General features: G+C 36.1%; 1 protein-coding gene across 2 annotated transcripts in view; it reads left to right on the top strand.

Moving 5' to 3' along the window:
• The window catches only part of TEX15 (testis expressed 15, meiosis and synapsis associated), an 81465-nt gene extending 59694 nt beyond the window's left edge, over window positions 1-21771 (top strand). Inside the window, exons 8-11 of one of the 2 annotated variants that reach the window (NM_001350162.2) lie at window positions 3999-11311; window positions 13351-13409; window positions 15254-16512; window positions 19992-21771. In NM_001350162.2, the coding sequence (NP_001337091.1) occupies window positions 3999-11311; window positions 13351-13409; window positions 15254-16512; window positions 19992-20029 (8669 nt within the window). In that variant the 3' untranslated portion in view covers window positions 20030-21771. Of the gene's footprint in view, window positions 1-3998; window positions 11312-13350; window positions 13410-15253; window positions 16513-19991 lie in introns of those variants that run through there. The other variant, NR_146525.2, reaches the window with a different exon arrangement.

Genomic DNA, 22412 nt, shown 5'->3' with positions numbered 1-22412 from the left:
CAAGTGTTCTCTTTCCTTGACGATTTTACCTACTTGTTTTATAGGTTGTTCAAGTGTTCTCTTTCCTTGACGATTTTACCTAGTTGTTCTGTCCACATTTCCCCTCAGCCGGAAGGCTTATATTAGAGACAACAGATAGGGACCTTTCCCTACTTCTACTGCAGCCCATCCGCAATGTATTATAGCTTATTGCTTTAATCAAAGGATGATGCCTTTCAGGGTGATTAACTTTAGAGAAAACCTATATTATGCCCACAGTCATAGCCACATGTGTTGGCTATCAGCATATTCATCTCCCTCCAGAGTACACCAGACTACACTATCTAATACAGTAGCCACTAGTCACATGTGGCTCTTTAAATTTAAATTAATTAAAATTAAATAAAATTATAAATTCAATTTGTCAGTCACACCAGGCACATTTCAGTGCTCAGTAACCACATGTGGCTAGTAGCTACCACAGATAACATTTCCATCATCACTGAATATATGGTACTAATAACTATTTGGTAGTGTACTTTATTGATTGTAATCTGGTTTTATTAGTTTCCGTATTGCATTGAAGATGTTGGATTTGTTGGGGGTTTTTTCTTACTACTTTTTTATTTCAATTTTTTTTTATTTCCGTAGGTTTTTAGGGAAACAGGTGGTATTTGGTTACATGAGTAAGTTCTTTAGTGGTGATTTGTGAGAGTTTGGTGCACCCAAGATGTTGGATTTGTTCTGCAATTTTTAATTGTCATTTGATGAGAATGCCAACAAAAAGGGAATAAAGTAAAAATGCCATTATCAAGTTTAAAGAGATAGCATAATATAGAGATTAAGATTCTACTGTTAATAAACTGTGTGATTCTGAGCAAATTGTTCTTAATTTCACTTCCTCATCAGTAAAATGGAAATGTTATTAAGATTAAATTAATGTGGCCAGGCGCGGTGGCTCACACTTGTAATCCTAGCACTTTGGGAGGCCAAGGCGGGCGGATCACGACTTCAGGAGATCGAGACCACGGTGAAACCCTGTCTCTACTAAAAATACAAAAAATTAGCCAGGCGTGGTGGCGGACGCCTGTAGTCCCAGCTACTCGGAGAGGCTGAGGCAGGAGAATGGCGTGAACCCGGGAGGCGGAGTTTGTAGTGAGCCGAGATCGTGCCACTGCACTCCAGCCTGGGCGACAGAGACTCTGTCTCAAAAAAAAAAAAAAAAAAAAAAAAAAGATTAAATTAATGTACATAAGGCACTTAAAACAGGACCTGGCATCCATGTTAAGTATTTTATAAGTTTTTGTTAACATTATGTGTATGTTAAAATGCATTTGTCACACATTTGTAAAAGTGAAATTATTAAACTTAAGCAGTTAGGGTTTTTTTGCTTGTTTGTTTTGAGATGGGGTCTTGCTCTGTCACCCAGGTTGGAGTGCAGTGGTGCCATCTCGGCTCACTGCAACTTCCGCCTCCTGGGTTTAAGCAATCCTCCCACCTCAGCCTCCCAAGTAACTGGGACTACAGGCAATGTGCCACCATGCCTAATTTTTGTATTTTTAGTACAGACAGGGTTTCACCATGTTGGCCAGGCTGGTCTCGAACTCCTGACCTCAGAAGATTCACCCAGTCTAAACTTAAGTAATTAGGTTTCTTTTCCCACATTGGTATATATTAATCCATCTTTTTTTTTTCTTTTTCCTTGAGACAGAGTCTTGCTCTGTTGCCCAGGCTGGAGTGTAGTGGTGTGATCTCAGCTCACTGCAACCTCCGCCTCACGGGTTCAAGGCGATTCTCCTGCCTCAGCCTCCCGAGTACCTGGGACTACAGGCACACACCACCACGTCTGGCTAGTTTTTTGTATTTTTAGTAGAGACAGTGTTTCACCATGTTGGCCAGGCTGGTCTCAAACTCCTGACCTCAAGTGATCTGCCCGCCTCCGCCTCCCAAAGTGCTGGGATTACAGGCATGAGCCACCTTGCCCGGCCATATTAATCCATCTTAATCTTTGTAATAGCTGCATAACATTCTGTCTTCTAGGACATTTGTTATAACGTATGCTCATAGTAATTTTATCATTTTTGATATGTCATTCATTTAGCCAGTCTCATATTGATGTATAGTTAGGTTTCTAGCTTTTAACTGTCTTGGGTTATTTTACTGAAGATCCTTGTCCATAGAACTTTGGGTATTTATACAAGTTTATCAGAGTAGTAAATGAGTAAGAATGGGTTTGCTTTGAATGATTACATATAACATATCGATGAATACTGTCAGCTTGTTTTCCAGGAAATTTGTACGAATTTATACTTCCATGAACCATATTAAAAAGTGCTTACATTTGTATAGTATTAATCATTCTTTCAAATTTTTGCCAGTTTAAAAAGTTTTTTTTAATGGATCTTACTGTTTATTTAGTGGGGTTGGGGCATCTTTTTGTGTTTGTTGACAATTTTACCTATTTTTTTCCTTTGAGTATTGTTTATCATGCATTTTGACCTATTAAAATAATTTATATGTAATTGACATCATGTTTTACTTTTATGTTTTCTGATTTTCAGTCATGCTTTAAAAGTACTTTCCTATGCCAAGATTATAAAAACATCCATTCATTTTTTTTTCTAGTACTTTTATGGAGTTTTTTAAATAGCAAATTTTATTTTGGTGTAGGTGTAGGAATCTACATTTCCATTTTCTTCTCCATTATACTCCCCACTCTAAAGAACTACATCTCTTCATATGTGGTCATATTTCCATGATAGCTTACTGTAAGTAATAAAATCACAAATGGTAGTAGAATTTAGAAATCTTCAACATAGCTCTCTTACTGTGAAAAAGAACCTTATGGTACTTGTCAGTGACATGATAACTTCATATGTTTTATAGATGTCACAAGCAATTTCTCATCATTAATTCCTGTTTTAGGAAAGGTATTTTTAGGGTGTTACTTAGCTATGAATGTTTGGTGAACATTTATGAGAAATTATTATTTACTTGTTAAATATGCATTTTGTAAATTCATTATTACATGAGGTTTCTTAGGAAATTTTAGAAATAATTTTTATAAATTATTTTAAAAGTTTGCTTTTATTTTCCAGGTTTTTATTTGCATATATTATTTGCAGGAACATTCATTTCACTGCAAAAGACGAATAGTAGTTTGCTTTGGCTCCTGGGAAAGATTTTATGGAACTTTTTGGGTTTTCCTTTCCCTGTTTTTCCACCTCACACCCCTTTCCTTTCCTTTTTTTTCTCCCATGGTAGAGGGAGAAGCAAGGTAATGGTAGATAGAGGGAGATTATTTTGCCTTCTTATATGTACATGCTATTATTAAACATCTGAATATAGAAAATTAATATAAGAGAGCTGTTATCTATTGGGAAAATGTTTTTATTCCTATTTAGTTTTATTCTTCCCCACCTCTGCCCCCAGCCCCCGAGATGGAGTCTTGCTCTGTTGCCCAGGCTGGAGTGCAGTGGCGCAATCTCGGCTCGCTGCAACCTCCACCTCCCAGGTTCAAGCAATTCTCCTACCTCAGCCTCCTGAGTAGCTGGGATTACAGGTGCCCACCACCACACCTGGCTAATTTTTTTTTTGTATTTTAGCAGGGTTTCACCCTGTTGGCCAGGCTGGTCTCGAACTCCTGACCTCATGATCTGTCCACCTTGGCTTCTCAAAGTAATGGAATTATAAGCGTGAGCCACCGTGCCCAGCCCCTATTTAGTTTTTTTCTATTATTTGTCATTTTTTTTCTATTATTTGTCAGAATTAAACTTTTATGGCAAATACTCTTTATTAAGGTTTCTAGACGAGGAGAATTTCATGCTACGTCATTTATATTTTATTTATTTGTTAATCATCCCCTTCTCTCTTTGCTTTTTCCGTTGAAAACACATTTTAATCATCATTAGGTTATTAGCTGAACTTTCAATTAAAATTACTGGACACAATGTACCTGTATTAATAGTTGTCTATAGAAACACTTTTTTTCAAATTTGTCTTCCTTATTATTTCCACAGAAAGGACATGCTCTCTGAATAACTGTACAGTGGCCAAAAGATTTGGAAAAGGAAAAGATGCTACTGTCACCTTTGTGCATTTCAAGAAACCTGTAGATCCATTTGTTCAAGAAAACTGTTTATGCAATGCACTAAATTCAGAGATAAATCCTTTCATCTCAAATATTTCTAACTCCTATGGAAATGTACAAAATGGAAACATTTCTATACCTGAAACATACAGTGGACAGACAGAGCACAGTTTAGCAGAAATTAGAGACACTTCTCAAGTACTTGCACATGATTCAGACATTTCACTTATGCCCAGTGATGCCAAAGACAGTGTTAATGGTGACCTTTTGTTAAATTGGACAAGTCTTAAAAATATTTTAAGTGGTCTTAATGCTTCTTTTCCTCTTCACAACAATACTGGCTCAAGCACAGTCACTACTTCAAAATCCATCAAAGACCCAAGACTGATGAGGAGAGAAGAAAGTATGGGAGAACAGAGTAGTACTGCAGGCTTAAATGAGGTTTTGCAATTTGAGAAGAGTTCAGATAATGTTAATTCAGAAATAAAATCGACACCATCTAATTCTGCCTCCTCCTCAGAAGTTGTCCCTGGTGATTGTGCTGTTCTTACTAATGGTTTGGATACCCCTTGCTTTAAAACTTCTGTTAATGATTCACAATCTTGGGCTCACAACATGGGCTCTGAGGACTATGACTGTATACCTCCCAATAAAGTTACCATGGCAGGGCAATGTAAGGACCAAGGTAATTTTTCCTTCCCAATTTCTGTGTCAAATGTAGTGTCAGAGGTTGAGAACCAAAACCACAGTGAGGAGAAGGCTCAGAGAGCCCAACAGGAGTCCGGTAATGCTTATACAAAAGAGTACAGTAGTCACATTTTTCAGGACTCGCAGTCTTCTGATTTAAAAACAATTTATCAGACTGGTTGCCAAACGTCTACAGTTTTTCCACTCAAAAAGAAAGTAAGCATTGATGAATACCTTCAAAATACTGGAAAGATGAAAAACTTCGCTGACCTGGAAGACAGTTCCAAACATGAAGAAAAGCAAACTTCATGGAAAGAAATTGATAATGATTTCACTAATGAAACAAAAATCAGTCCAATAGATAATTACATTGTTTTGCACCAAGAATACAAAGAGAGTGAGAGTCATAATTCTTTTGGGAAAAGCTGTGATAAAATATTAATTACTCAAGAGTTAGAAATAACAAAATCTTCTACATCTACCATAAAGGATAAGGATGAACTAGATCATCTAGCATTGGAATGGCAAATTACTCCAAGTTTTGAGAGCCTGTCACAAAAGCATCCTCAGCACTCTGTGGAGTATGAGGGTAACATTCATACAAGTTTAGCCATTGCTCAAAAGCTAATGGAACTGAAATTGGGGAAAATAAATCAAAATTATGCTAGCATTATAACTGAAGCTTTCCCGAAACCAAAAGACATACCCCAGGCCAAAGAAATGTTCATTGATACAGTTATTTCATCTTATAACATAGAAACAGCTCATGACAGTTCAAATTGCAGCATAACTAGAGAACATATATGTGTCCATAGGAAAAATGAAAATGAACCAGTGTCATTAGAGAACATTCAGAGAGACTATAAAGAAACTGCTTATGTTGAAGATAGGGGTCAGGATCACAATCTGTTCTGTAATTCACAGTTAAGCAATGATATATGGCTGAATGTTAATTTCAAAAAACAAACAGATAGAGAAAACCAAAATGAGGCTAAAGAGAATAGTGCTTCATGTGTAGAAAACAACATAGAGAACATATATGGAGACAAAAAGCAGGATTCTCATACAAACGAAAATTTCAGCAATATAGATGAAAAGGAGGACAAAAATTACCACAATATAGAAATTTTGAGTTCTGAAGAATTTTCTACTAAATTTAACTTGATTTGCAGAGAAGATAATGCAGTGTCAGCAGCAACTGCATTATTAGAGAGTGAAGAAGATACCATTAGTGCCGTGAAACAAAAAGATACTGAAAATACTGGAAGAAGTGTAGAGCATTTGGCTTCCACGACATTTCCCAAAACTGCAAGTTCTTCAGTGTGTGTAGCCTCAAATGCTGCAATACAGATAGCTAGTGCTACTATGCCTGCATTAAGCCTAAATAATGACGATCACCAGATATACCAGTTTAAAGAAACTTGTTCTTCTGAAAGTCCAGATTTTGGTTTGTTAGTAAAACATAGGGTTTCTGATTGTGAAATTGATACGGATAAAAATAAATCACAAGAATCATTTCATCAATCAATAAATGAGAACTTAGTTCTTCAGAGCATTGAATTGGAAAGTGAAATTGAAATAGAATTAGAAGATTGTGATGATGCTTTTATATTTCAACAAGATACACATAGCCATGAAAACATGCTTTGTGAAGAATTTGTGACCTCATATAAGGCTCTGAAGTCTCGTATCAGTTGGGAAGGTCTGTTAGCACTTGATAACGGGGAGATGGAAGTTTTGGAAAGCACCACAGGAAGGGAGAATAGTGATCAGCATTATTCTAAGGAAAGTAACTATTTTTATTCCTCTACACAAAACAATGAAACAGAACTTACCAGCCCAATTTTACTTCCAGATCTACAAATTAAAATTACTAATATATTTAGGCCAGGATTCAGCCCGACAGCTGACTCCCTTGCATTGAAAGATAGTTTTTGCACACATGTAACTGAAGCCACAAAACCGGAAATAAATAAGGAAGATGGAGAAATTCTAGGATTTGACATTTATTCCCAGCCTTTTGGTGAAAATGCAGATTATCCATGTGAAGATAAAGTTGATAATATAAGGCAAGAATCAGGGCCAGTGAGTAACTCTGAAATCTCCCTTTCTTTTGACTTGAGTCGTAATACAGATGTGAATCATACGTCTGAAAATCAGAACAGTGAATCTTTGTTTACTGAACCTTCTAATGTCACAACAATAGATGATGGAAGCAGATGTTTCTTTACAAAATCAAAAACTGACTATAATGATACCAAAAATAAAAAGGAGGTAGAATCAAGAATTAGCAAAAGGAAGCTACATATATCTTCCAGGGATCAGAACATACCACATAAAGATTTAAGACGACATAAAATTTATGGGAGAAAGAGGAGGCTAACCAGTCAAGACTCATCTGAGTGTTTCTCTTCATTATCCCAAGGACGAATTAAAACATTTTCACAGTCAGAAAAGCACATTAAGAGTGTCCTAAATATCCTAAGTGATGAAGCATCTTTATGTAAAAGCAAATGTCTTTCCAGAAAACTAGACAAAGCAGTTGTTCACTTAAAAAAAGCTCATAGAAGAGTTCACACATCTTTGCAGCTTATAACTAAAGTAGGAGAAGAAAGAAAGGGCCCATTACCAAAATCATATGCAATAATATGCAATAATTTCTGGGAAAGTTGTGACCTTCAAGGTTATAGTTCTGTGTCTCAAAGAAAATATTATTCTACTAAGCATTTTTCGTCAAAAAGAAAATATGACAAACGGAGAAAGAAAAGAGCTCCAAAAGCTGATATTTCTAAATCATTAACCCATGTGTCAAAGCACAAGTCTTATAAAACAAGTGGAGAGAAAAAATGCCTTTCTAGGAAAAGTATGGCTAGCAGTGTCTCAAAAAGTCACCCCACCACCAGTCACATGGGAGAATTTTGTAATCAAGAACATCCTGAATCACAGTTGCCTGTATCCTCCACATCCCAAAGTACAAGTCAGTCAGTTTATTATAATAGCAGTGTAAGCAATCCAAGTTTATCAGAAGAACATCAGCCCTTTTCTGGAAAAACTGCATATCTGTTTTCCCCAGACCACTCAGATGAGAAACTAATAGAAAAAGAAAATCAAATTGATACAGCATTTTTATCTAGCACTAGTAAATATGAAAAGCTTGAAAAACATTCAGCAAATCATAATGTTAAAGATGCAACTAAAGAAAACAGTTGTGACGCTAATGAAGTAATAAATGAAAGTAATTCTGTATCTTTAAGTTGCATAAAAGAAAACATAAATTCTAGTACAGGCAACGATTGTGATGCAACTTGCATAGGTCACACAAAGGCGAAAACTGACGTACTTATATCAGTCTTAGATTCAAATGTGAAGCACTTTTTAAATGATCTCTACCAACAAGGTAACCTTATTTTATCTGATTGTAAAAGAAACCTGGAAGTAAAGTGGACAGATCCTATTGAGAGACCCAAACAAAACATTATTACAGGAAACTTCCTTATGGGCCCATTAAACCTAACTTTGATAGCAAGTAAAAAGTACAGTATTCCTCAGTTATCAGCCGCTGCAGTGACAGATAGTGAGGGAGAATCTTCAAAATCTTACTTGGATAAGCAGAGAATTCTTACTGTAGATTCTTTTGCAGCATCCAGTACTGTACCACACTGTGAGCAGAGCTGTAGAGAAAAAGAGCTTCTAAAGACAGAACAGTGCTCTTCAGGTAATTGCCTCCATACAGATGGGAATGAAACAAATGTCACTGAGAATTATGAGTTGGATGTAGCATCAGGAACTGAAGAAGATAAAAGTTATGGGGAAAATATAGTGGAATTATCTTCCAGTGATAGTTCTCTGCTTTTAAAAGATAATGTAAAAGGCTCCTCTTCAGAAACATGTATTGTGAAGAAAGACACTGAGGACAGAATAACGTGGAAAGTTAAACAAGCGGAAAAAGCAAAAGATTCTGTTTACAAAAGAAGCATGACTGAAGGATCAACTGTTAATACTGAGTACAAAAATCAAAAGAATCAGATCTCAGAAGAATCCTGCTTAAATGAGAAAATTATTACAACTAACTTGATTGATTCCCATCTGAGCACTAAAAATACTACCACTGAGTCAGTCCCTTTGAAGAACACAGTTTCTAATCCGCTTAACAAAAGAGAGAAGAAGGGGGAAATTAAAGTTAGTAAAGACTCGCAGTCTGACTTGACATTACATTCAGAAATAGCCTATATTTCCAAACCAGGAATTCTAGGAGTTAATCATACGCCTATTTTACCTGCCCACTCTGAAACCTGTAAAGTCCCTACTCTTCTGAAGAAACCTGCGTCATACGTGAGTGATTTTAAAGAAAAACATTGCTCAGCTAATCATACGGCCCTTATAGCTAATCTATCTCAAATTTTGCAGAGGGCAGATGAAGCATCATCTTTGCAGATTCTACAGGAAGAAACTAAGGTTTGTCTAAATATTCTCCCTTTATTTGTGGAAGCTTTTGAAAGAAAGCAAGAATGTTCAGTTGAACAAATCCTGATTTCAAGAGAACTGTTGGTAGACCAAAACCTGTGGAATAATTGCAAACACACATTAAAACCATGTGCTGTTGACACTTTGGTAGAACTTCAAATGATGATGGAAACAATTCAATTCATTGAAAACAAAAAAAGGCACTTAGAAGGTGAACCAACATTGCGAAGCTTGCTTTGGTATGATGAAACACTGTATGCTGAGCTTCTTGGAAAACCACGTGGATTTCAACAGCAGTCTAATTTCTATCCTGGTTTCCAAGGAAGATTAAAATATAATGCATTCTGTGAGTTACAGACTTACCATGATCAATTAGTTGAATTGCTTGAAGAAACAAAAAGGGAAAAGAATTCATACTATGTATTCTTAAAGTACAAACGACAGGTTAATGAATGTGAAGCCATAATGGAGCATTGTTCCGATTGCTTTGATTTTTCTCTTTCTGTTCCATTTACCTGTGGAGTTAACTTTGGAGATAGTTTAGAAGACCTGGAAATCTTAAGAAAAAGTACTTTAAAGTTGATCAATGTATGTGGGGACTCTCCTAAAGTTCATTCGTATCCAGGAAAACAGGACCATCTGTGGATTATCATAGAAATGATCTCCTCAAAGGTTAATTTTATTAAGAACAACGAGGCAGTACGTGTTAAAATATCTCTTTATGGTCTGGAACATATCTTTTTTGATGCTGCAAAAAATCTTGTTTGGAAAGAGAGAACACAATCCTTCAGCAAAAAATACTCACAAAAGAAGGACGAAGAAAGGCTACTCAGAGTGAATAAATGTGCCTTTTCTAAGTTGCAGAAGATATATGATACTTTGTCTAAAGATTTAAACAATGAACCAATTTCCCCTATTGGGCTTGAGGAGGATACTATAATTGCTTCCAGAAAGTCAGATCATCCAATAAACGAAGCAACAATTAGCATAGAAAATTCTAAATTTAACAGTAATTTGCTTGCACACCCAGATATTTGTTGTATTAGTGAGATATTGGATCAGGCTGAATTTGCAGACCTTAAAAAATTACAGGATCTCACCTTGAGATGTACAGATCACTTAGAAATTTTAAAAAAATACTTTCAGATGCTACAAGATAATAACATGGATAATATTTTTATCACAGAAGAAAATGTTTTAGACGTGGTGATAAACCACAGCCATGAGGCTATCATTTTAAAGCCTGAAGCTATTGAAATGTATATTGAAATCGTCATGGTCTCAGAAACAATTCACTTTCTTAAAAACTCAATAGCAAAGAAACTAGACAAACAGAGGTTTCGAGGTATGCTTTGGTTTGATTTGTCACTTCTTCCTGAGCTGGTTCAGTGCCAAGAAAAAATGGCTTCTTTTTCATTTCTTAAAGATAACTCAACAGATGTTTGCCTTTGGAAAGTGATAGAGACTGCTGTTTCCGAACTTAAGAAAGATCTGGATATTATCTGCAAATATAATGAAGCTGTTAATTGCTCATATGCTATTCATTTGCTCTCAAGAGAACTTCAAGAACTTTCAGAAATAAAAAAGCTTCTGAAGAAGTCCAAGTATTTTATTTCCACATATATTGACTTTGTGCCATATATAGCATCCATAAATTATGGAAGCACTGTGACAGAGTTAGAATACAACTACAATCAATTTTCTACACTGCTGAAGAATGTAATGTCTGCCCCTAGGAAAGATTTAGGAAAAATGGCCCACATTAGGAAAGTCATGAAAACGATTGAACATATGAAGATGATATGTACTAAAAATGCTGAACTAACCATTTCCTTTTTCCTATGCCAAATGCTGTATAACAGAAGGAAGATTTTACAGCTGAAGAGAAAAGAAAAAATGAATATTCATATTGTAAAACCTGGGGAAAATAACAATAAATTTAGTATTTCTACGATGTTGCCCCCAGTATCAGAGTGCATAAACAAAAACATCTCAAATTCCTCTAAAAAACGACCGAGCACTGTAGACAAATGTGAAGACTCTCAGGAACAACAGCAAGATACTACTGTTTCCAGTTGTAAAAAGCTAAAGGTATGTATGTTTTAAAACAAAACTTTTATAAGTATTCTTTTTGAAAACAAGTCTACTCATAAGCAAACAAGTAGTTTGCAGAATTCTAAAAGTTAAGAATGGTAAATTGTCTGGCAAAATGAATTTACTAACTATAATATTGATTTAAACAATTCATATTATCTATAAAATGATACATAAATTATATGTATAGGTGATACCTTGCAAATGTCTACTTTTTAAACGTAAATGTTTTAACTTAGAAAACATTTTTTGGAAGGACGTGGATTTTAAAAGCTTCTTAAGAAGGAGTTCAATATTATGAACACTGAGTGAGAGACCAATATTTATTGAGTAGCTTTTCTGTATAACAAGCCTATGCCCCGTGTAGTGAATATTAAAAAGTGGCTAACAAAGCCTGTCTTCTTGACCATTATCATCCCAATGGAGAAATAGGACAGATATTTTTCAAGAGATAATTATCAAGGAGTTAAAAGTCCTATATTAAATACATTTTAACAAATTGTCTAAAGCATTTAATATGTACTTGGCACTGATTTATTTTATACACAACCCCTTATGATGTATTTCCTATTATCTTACTTCAAGATAAGGAAAGTGGGACACAGAGGAAATGACTATCCTGGGGTCACAGAATTTAGTAAATGGGAGCACCCAGATCTAAACCAGGCAGTCTGGCCTCCAGAGCCCTTATTGACAGTTGTCTCAGCACTGCTCTAAGAGGTTTCTCTTACAGCTGTTCAAGACTTCTTAGTTCAGAAGTTTAGAAAAGAAACCTATATGCAGCTGGGTGCGATAGCTCACGCCTGTAATCCCGGCACTTTGGGAGGCCAAGGTGGGCAGACTGCTTGAGTCCAGGAGTTCAAGACCAGCCTGGGCAACATGGTGAGACCTCATCTCTACTAAAAATAACAAAAAATTAGCCAGACATGGTGACATACACTTGTAGTTCCAACTACTTGGAAGGTTGAAGCAAGAGGATTGCCTGAGCACAGGGGCGGAGGTTGCAGTGAGCCAGGATTACACCACTGTACTCCAAGCTGGGAGGACAGAGTAAGACTCTGTTTCAAAAAAAATTTATATATATAATTTTTAAATTAAGTCTGGAACAATTTAACTTAGTGGGTAAGAATAATCTATGGATGGAGAAGGTTATTTCAGATTATGGAATATCTTAAATTAGACCTAAGGAGTTTGACCTTCATTCTGTACACATTGAAGTGTACTGTCATATGAAATTCGTTTTTCTAATGATTTAACAGATAGATTCTGAGTATATAAGTCATATATGTCTTCTGTAGAAGTATATATAGTAATAAGTAGTAGTACTGTATACAATACTACTTACAGTAATAAGTCAGCCATGGCTTAGAAAAAGGTGTTAGAAAGGAAAATTCATATTGACAGACATGACTTAAAGAATCGATGGGGCTTAGCAACTGGTTTACAAGAAAGGACATAAAAGAGGGAGGGAATAGTCATAAATGGACTTCAAGGTTAGTTTTAAGGGCCAGGTGTGGTGGCTCTTGCCTGTAATCCCAGCACTTTGGGAGGCTGAGGCAGATGGATCACCTGAGGTCAGGAGTTCGAGACCAGCCTGACCAACATAGTGAATCCCCATCTCTACTAAAAATACAAATATCAGCTGGGTGTGGTGGTGGGCACCTTTAGTCCCAGCTACTCTGGAGGCTGAGGCAGGAGAATCGCTTGCACCCAGTAGGCGGAGGTTGCAGTGAGCCAATATCGCATCACTGCACTTCAGCCTGGGTGACAGAATGAGACTCCATCTCAAAAAAAAAAAAGATGTGAGGATAAGAAGAATGTTACAAATTTATTTTTTTTAAAGTTACTCCAAACATATATGAAATATGGGAAGTCTAGGAGAGTCACTGCTTTCTGCAGGGAGGTGATAATTAATTAGTTTAACTTTAGATGATGGCAGAACAAGCAATTAAAAATATCTAATATTGAAATAATAATTATTTTTATTATAGTTTGTCATCACTAATGAAGATTTTCTTTGTATCTTTTAAACACAGGTAGACATGAAAGATGTCACAAAAATCAACAGAGAAAAGGCAACATTCAAGCATCCAAGGTAGGAGTTCCCATCAGCCCTATGTGGAAAAAAAATTGAACAAAATTGGGCAAATACTAAACAACTAGAATAACACAATTATTTATATAATGTCATTGGATCATACATGTAACTTAGGGGATGAGAGTAAGCTAAGGAAAAAGAAATTTGTTTGAAATTATACAGTTTCTTAAATTCAGCCTAAGGAGTTTGAACTTCATTCTGTAAGTATTAAAGGCTAAAGTCATGTGAAATTTGCTTTTTCAGTGATGTAAAGGTTAAGAATATTCTGAGTATAGTTAGAAGTAAGTCAGCCAAGGCTTAGAAAAGGGTGATTGTTTCACAGAATAAGAAAGAAAAATTTATATCTTTACAAGATACGATACAATACATAAAGAATTGATGGGGCTTAGTAAGTGGTTTACCAAAAAAAGACTTCTAAAATCAAAAAGGGACTTTTAAAAATAGGACAAGTGATAAGATTACTTTTTTTTTTAACTTGTGCATTTTGAAGAATGGCAAATTTCAAAACTGGCATTTTAATGAGAACCTACATAGTCATCAATTCCCATACGATACTTTGAGCTCTCAGAAAGTATAATTTTGATTTTATCGCATTTCTGGTGATGTTTCAGTGAGGCTGAATTCAGTGAAATATTTGGCTTTTAGTTTGTTGAGTGGGATATGTGAATTCCAGGCCAAAGAAGAATTTCTCTTGACTACAGAGAAATAGTACTACTTTTCCCTTCTCAACATAATATTTCCTCATACAATTTAAGAATTTCATAAAGCACCAAAAAATCTAATTACTGGCTGGGTGTGGTGGCTCATGCCTGTAATCCCTGCACTTTGGGAGGCCAAGGCGGGCGGATCACCTGAGGTCAGGAGTTGGAGATCAGCCTGACCAACATGGTGAAACACTATCTCTACTAAAAATATGGAAACTAGCCGGGCATAGTGGCGGGTGCCTGTAGTCCCAGCTACTTGGGAGGCTGAGGCAGGAGAATCATTTGAACTTGGGAGGCGGAGGTTGCAGTGAGCTGAGATGGTGCTGCTGCACTCCAGCCTGGGCAACAGAGTGAGACTCTGTGTCAAAAAAAAATTCATATATATATATATATATATATATATATATATATATATATATATATATGTTTTTATATATACACACATACACATACATATGTGTGTATGTGTGTGTGTATATATGTGTGTGTGTGTGTGTGTGTATATATATAATTACCTCAGGGACCTATATTAACTGTCTGGCTTTAGACAATTCCCATTTGGATGCTTCTCTCAGCTGCTTGAGACTGTCTGAATTTAGCTAATAATTTCAAGGCTATTAAATTGGGCAAGAAATTTTGGAGATCTGCTTTTCCTATTCTCAAAGATGAACAGACAAAAACGTATTAGTCTGTTATAACAGAGAGGGAAGAAATCTTTGGTGGGAAGGCAGGGGTTACAGCTGGTAGTTTACCAGTTATTTATAGCTATTTACAAGTAATGAAGATCATCAGGCAGGAGGCATATGAATTAAAAAACTATACTGAACAATTGACTAGTGATAGTTTTCTACTTTTAAAAGCCTCCATTAGAAAATGTCTAATGCACAAAATAGTTTATTACAATATTGGAAATATATTTAAAATGTAGAGCATATCATCTTCAGTAGGAAAAGTATCTAAATCCAAACCACGGCAGTCAAACTAGGAAAATGTTAACTTGTATAGTGCCAATAGAATGGGAAAACGTAAAGCTTAAGAACTCTTCCCCTGGATAAAAATTTCAAATATATATTTCCATTAAAATTTTATGACCCTATATATTTAAATTCATTTTTATGTATGTGTTGCACCTAATAGGACTACAGGATCTCATCCCAAAAGCGAAAACAAAATAGTACCAAGTTCATGTGACAGTCTGAAAAGAAATCATTTAACGCCAAAAAAGGTTGAAATGCAAAGATCACTACCTGGCTCACTTTTACCCTTAGAGAACCCAAAAGACACTTGCGCATCAAAGTCGGAAAGCAAAATAGACTTAACTGTTTCATCTGATCACTTCAGTGGACAACAGGAAAATTTAAATAGCATGAAGAAAAGAAATGTGAACTTCAGTGCTGCTGAAACAAAAAGTGATAAGAAAGATTGTGCTGCTTTTGCAATTTGTGACCAAAAAAGTGTACATGGCACATTTTCACCAGACCATGGGACGCTTTTGCAGAAATTTCTTAAAAATTCCCCAGATCCCACCCAAAAATCCTGCCTTTCTGATATAAACCCAGAAACTGATGTTTCTCTTGTGCCTGATGCGTCGGTGCTCTCAAAGCCAATTTTCTGTTTTGTGAAAGATGTCCATCCTGATCTAGAAATGAATGACACAGTCTTTGAACTTCAAGATAATGATATAGTAAATTCATCTATTAAAAATTCCTCATGCATGACTTCTCCAGAACCCATCTGTATCCAGAACAAAATTCCTACTCTGCAGATAAACAAACTACAGCCTACAGAAACTGAGTCAGAGGACAAATACATGAAGGATACATTGAATCCCAATACTGTGCATACTTTTGGAGCATCTGGGCATATAACCCTTAATGTGAATCAAGGAGCAGAGTACTCTCTTTCTGAACAACAGAATGACAAAAATTCAAAAGTCCTAATGCAGAATGCTGCCACATATTGGAATGAACTTCCACAGTCTGCATGTAACCCAACATATAATTCTTCTGAGCATTTATTTGGAACTTCATATCCATACTCTGCTTGGTGTGTTTATCAGTACAGCAACAGCAATGGCAATGCCATTACCCAGACATACCAAGGGATAACATCATATGAAGTACAGCCATCTCCTTCTGGGCTGTTGACCACAGTTGCAAGTACTGCCCAGGGCACACATTCTAATCTTCTGTACTCTCAATATTTTACTTATTTTGCGGGGGAGCCACAAGCAAATGGCTTTGTGCCAGTGAATGGGTATTTTCAATCTCAAATACCTGCTTCTAATTTTCGGCAGCCAATTTTTTCACAATATGCTTCTCATCAGCCATTACCACAAGCTACATACCCTTACCTTCCTAATCGATTTGTGCCTCCAGAAGTTCCTTGGGTTTATGGTGAGTTTCACATTTTAATGCCTGCTTTATTGAGTTGTTACTTTTAACTGTGTCCATTTATGTAAGTGAAATTCACAGTAAGTGATGAGTTAGAGGGAGAAAGAGCAGTCATTTTTCTGTACAGATTTGTAGAATTGCCAATGGATTGGGCAGAGAGGGTGGAAATCTAGTTGTCAAAAATTCAAGAAAAAAAACTGTCAGTATCACTAATATGTCCTTGACATGTTTGTTCTTCAATAAAACCCAACAGTAGGGAATAGTTAAGTAACTTATAGTTAATCGATACAGTGGGGCTGGGCGCAGTGGCTCACACCTGTAATCCCAGCACTTTGGGAGGCCGAGGGGGGCAGATCACGAGGTCAGGAGTTCAAGACTAGCCTGGCCAACATAGTGAAACCCCATCTGTACTAAAAATACAAAAATTAGCTGGGCATGGTGGCGCACACCTGTAGTCCCAGCTACCCAGGAGGCTGAGGAAAGAGAATCGCTTGAACTCAGGAGGCAGAGGTTGTGGTGAGCGGAGATCCGCCACTGCACTCCAGCCTGGGTGATAGAACGAGACTCGACCTCAAAAAAAAAAAAAAAAAAAAAAAAAAACGATACAGTGAAATGTGACGCAACCATTAAAGGGTTTTTAATGACCTGACTTTTTTAAAACTATATCATGTAAACTTACCTACATAAATGTGGAAATAGATAGAAATACTGAAATAAAATATGCCAACATTTTAATTTGTCTATCTTCAGGTAAAAACTTTAGGGTGTGTAGAGAATTTTTTCTTGCATTTTCTAGATTATCTACTGTGAAACATACATTATTTTGATAATTAGAGGAAAAACAGAGTAAACTAAAGTGGGAAAATAAATTTCAATTAGACAAAACAACCCTTCTGTTTCTCTCAGTTATCTAATACAGTATCTTGGTGTAAGTGAATAGAGTTAATTAAAATGTATTGGTAGAAGAACTTGATAGTTTGCTCTGTAACATGAAATTGTTTCTTTCTAAAATGCTTAATTCTACTTGTAAAATAGCATGATTAGAATATAGGTGTTTTAATGAAATTGAAATGTGCATTTATCAGAGTTAAAGCAAAATATAAAAACAATTATCCTGCAGAAAAAGTTACCCTAACAACCAAATATTCTACCATTGGAAATAAAATGTACTTTAAATAAAAATAACCATCTTTTAATATCTTATACGGAGAAATGCAAGATAATTCTTTTTTAAGGCAGGGTCTCATTCTGTCACCTAGACTGGAGTCCAGTGGCACATTCATAGCTTACTGAAACCTCAAACTCCTGGGCTCAAGCTGTCCTCCCATTTCAGCATCCCAAGTAGCTGGAACTACAGGCATGCATCACCATGTCCAGCTAATTATTTTTAATAATTTTTAATTTTTATTTTTATTATTTTTAATTTTTAGTAGAGGCTGAGCACCTGTAATCCCAGCACTTTGGGAGGTGGAGGTGGGCAGCTCACTTGAGGCAAAACATGGCGAAACCCTGGTATCTACTAAAAATACAAAAATTAGCTGGGAGTGGTAGTACACACCTGTAATCCCAGCTACTCAGGAAGGTGAGGCATGAGAATCACTTGAACCCGGGAGGCAGAGGTTGCAGTGAGCCGAGATCGCGCCACTGCACTCCAGCCTGTGTGACAGGAAGACCCAGTCCCAAAAAATATATATATATTAGTAGAGAGGAGGTCTTACTGTGTTGCCTAGGGTGGTCTCGGACTCCTGGCCTCAAGTGATCCTCCTGCCCCTGCCTTGCAAAGTGTGGGATTACAGGTGTGAGGCATCAGGCCCAGAGAATTTCTTTTAAAAAGTTTCTAAGCCCTGGATATTGTTACAAATGGATATGTAGAAAAAACTGAGAGGCCGTAGGACATAGGTCTGAATTGGGCAAGAAGCAGCCTATTGACATAGTTCTGTTTCTAACTGAGAAATCTGATCACATCAGCTCCTCTGCTTTGGAGTTATATCACTGATTCACTATAACCTACTGGATAAAATTCAAATACTTTAGCCTGGAATGCAGAGCCCTTCACAGTCCTCTATGTCCAACGTCATCTGCCACCACTTCCACCTCTGCATTCAAGCCACGTTGAACAACTTAATGTTCTCCCGTAGGACCATAGAACAATCTCTCTCGTACTTCTGTAGTACTTTTTGTGTGCTTTTCTCACATAAGGTATGTGAGTATTAGGTGGTATTGTAATAATCTCTGTATCTTTCCCTTTCTTCCCTGCCTCAGTAAATGACTTTACACAGGGCTAGAAATTTTTCACCTAAGAACATAAGGAAAACGATAAAAGAGGGGAAAAAAGGCTGGACGCAGTAGCTCATGCCTGTAATCCCAGCACTCTGGGAGGCCAAGGCAGGCAGATCACTTGAGGTCAGGAGTTTGAGACCAGCCTGGACAACATGGCGCAACCCTATCTCTACTAAAAATACAAAATTAGCCAGGTGTGGTGGCACATGCCTGTAATCCCAGCTACATGGGAGGCTGAGGCAGCAGAATGGCTTGGATCTGGGAGGCGGAGGTTGCAGTGAGCCGAGATCACGCCATTGCACTCCATACTGGGCGACAAGGTTAAACTCTGTCTCAAAAAAATAATAAAAGGGGAAAAAGAAAGCAGGAACAAAGTCCATGACTCTGCTTTTTCCTTTTTTATTAATTTGGTATCATTGCTGATGCTGTAATGATAAACACCAAGCATAGTAGATGGGACAAACCTATGAATTAAAGTGGACACTTTAATTTCTGAGATAGGAAATCTTGATTGTAATTGTTTCAGAAGGGTTCTCATAGTTTGGGCTTTCTTTTGTTCTTAATAGTTAAGCTATTTGTGATATTAAAAAAGATAGCTCTGGAATCAAGTCCAGCTATGGCTCTCAAATAATCTGTATTGTTACCTCCTTGGTTATATTAGTCCAATTAAAATAAAAGAAAAAGAAATAATCATTTACTTAATATCCAAAAGTCACTCTAAAAAAAATTAAGGAGGCAATTGCAATGTTATAAGCACATCTTTGAGTTATCATGAGTGTAAATAATCCACAGAAATCACCTCTCACACTTACAGGAACTGCATTCTTAAAAATGTGAAAATCCCTTGGACCCATTTGTCACTATATTGTTCGTGGTGCTTGTATTCAACACCAGAAAATGGAACTAAAGGACAGTGCTTGAGTGAGCCCTGTGTCCAGCCACATTATGTCCTTTATTACATTTAATTTCACAGGATAGCTTAGAGAGATGCAGAGGTGCTGTTCTTTTACAGATGAGGAAACCACTCCTCAGAGAGCCTTAAATTAACTTTCATAGGACCTGATGACCCTATGGCTACTTAAGGGCAAATAAGCACTTTGATCTCTTTAGCTGTAATTTAAACTCAGGTTCTTTCCACTATAGTATCATGTACCATTAGTCTAAATTATTTATTTAAATCTTTGTGGTGTTTTTTCTTCCAGCTCCATGGCACCAAGAATCCTTTCATCCAGGACACTGAAAATAGTCTTCTGTCTATTGAAATAAGACATAACAAGTTTTTCCAAATATTTTTTACTTATATATTTTTTAACATTTAGCGATTTTTAATGTTTGTAAATGTGGTAGGAAATATAAATCATATGGTCCTTTGTAAAATATACAAATAATCTAACACATATCATATAGGACATCAATTTCTAACATCTGATATACCAGAATTATTTCCATGCAATTATAAGGGGAGGGTAATATGATCAAAGTTAAGCAATAGTGGTAAAATCTTTAAAACTAGATTCTTGCTTCTGATATGTTTCAATACATTGTTGATGGCATTGTGCCATTTGAGCTGAAAGCAGGATTTTTTTTCATTAGTCATCAAACCAAGAATTTTATAATTCTTGACACTTTATTATATAATTTACAATTCTATGCCAGATATGGCAAATTTCTTCAATTTCAGTATTTTATAGTTTCTACTTGTAAAATATTTTTAATAAGAAAAATTGGTTTGCATAATCTCAGTGTTTCCTTGAGTAGAGATGTTTTAAATGTTTATGTTGGAAGCAATTGTAGTTAATTATATTGGCAATGAAGCACTTTCAATGCCTTTTTCTACAAGAGCCATTTCCAGAAGATTATTTTGTTTTTGGATTTCACAATTTAAATAGTTATTTTAATGATTTTCTAGCAAATAATAGAGAATAATGTTTATGCTTATGCAGTTAGTCTTTATTACAGTAATTTAAACAATGTGGCACAAACATAGTTTTTTCATGCTCTTGTCATAGACTTTTCTTTTTAACCTTCTGCAAAAGTAAAAACTCTCTTAGTAATAATCATCATAGGGCAACAGGATATAGTATGTAACTGCAGTCTTGAGCTGTCTCTTTTCATGTATTACCTTTCTTGCTCAACAGCTATTCCTGTTTTCTGTAAGATCCTAGTCAGACAGAGCCCTCACAACTGGATAGACCTTTCTCAAGGGTTAGCCCTAAAATGTGACAAGAGAATTGGTTTGGCTGAATCACAACAAATAACTAGCAAAGCTTCAGTGCTTTTGCAAACTTTTTATGTAAGCAAACTTTTTGTGTTATCTGGCACAGGCCTTTGAAAAGACTATAATTCTACTTTGTTTAATGTAGAGTAACTAATTTTTCAATTTAGAAAGACAGTGAGAATCCCCAGGATAAGCCTCTTTATACTCACTTAAACCAACTGGGATGGAATTCAGAATACCTAAGCTGCTTCTTTAACATAGAGATCTTTAAAAAGGGAAGGTCAAGCAAAGAACTGTAACCGAAAGAAGTAAGAGATTTGAAAAGACGATAGAGTTAAAACAATATTTAAAAAACATTTCTATTTGGTCCATGCAGTTTTATTTGAAAATAGTCTGTCAAAATCAGAACTCCTGAACAACTTTGAAAGCAGTAATATTAACTGGTATTCAAAAATGAATAACAGCCAAAAATGAATAACAGCCATTTGATTTATGTTTCCCTCAGTCATTTGGTTTATGTTTGGTTATGGCAAGATGTTACAGCATTTATAGTTAATACTACTACTAATATGTAAACCAAAAGTTAAATATTCTAGTTAAGGATTGTTTCTTTAAACAACTTTCAGATTCTGTTGACATTGTCTTTGTGGTATTTTTATTTCATGGGTTTTAATTTCTCTTAAAGACTTACCTAAATATTCAGTTACATTTTTAAAAAATCTGTACGTGACAGAATATTAAAACATGGAATATTTTTGCTTCAAGTGTGTTTTTTGATTCTAAATAGTAGAAGAAATTAAACCTGAGCAAATTTTATAAGAAAAAAAAACCTGTTTGTAAATATTGTTAAAGAAGAATTATTTGAATAAACTGGATTCCTTCTAATTTCAGGGTTTTTTTCTTTTGTGTTTCTTGAATAGTAAGCATAAATATGGGCCAGGCCTGGTGGCTCACACCTGTAATCCCAGCACTTTGGGAGGCCAAAGCAGGCGGATCACCTGAGGTCAGGAGTTCAAGAGCAGCCTGAGCAACATGACAAAACTCCATCTCTACCAAAAATACAAAAATCAGCCTGGAGTGGGGGCAGGCGCCTGTAATCCCAGCTACTCAGGAGGCTGAGGCAGGAGAATCACTTGAACCTGGGAGGCAGAGGTTGCCATGAGCTGAGGTCGTGCCACTGCACTCCAGCCTGGGCAACAGAACAAGACTATCTCGAAAAGAAAAAAAACGTAAATGTGAGTGGTCCTTGGTTTACACATACCCATTACATTAAAAACAATCCATGAGGAACTGACCTCATGAGTATTTTAGTTCATTTTCTGTTGCCGTAACAGAATATCACAGGCTGGGTAATTTGTAAAGACAAGAAATGTATTTGGCTCACAGTTCTTGAGCCTAGGATGTC

Source organism: Homo sapiens, chromosome 8 (genome assembly GCF_000001405.40).
Source record: "Homo sapiens chromosome 8, GRCh38.p14 Primary Assembly".
Classification (NCBI taxonomy): domain Eukaryota; kingdom Metazoa; phylum Chordata; class Mammalia; order Primates; family Hominidae; genus Homo; species Homo sapiens.
This window is presented reverse-complemented; position numbering and strand designations above follow the sequence as displayed.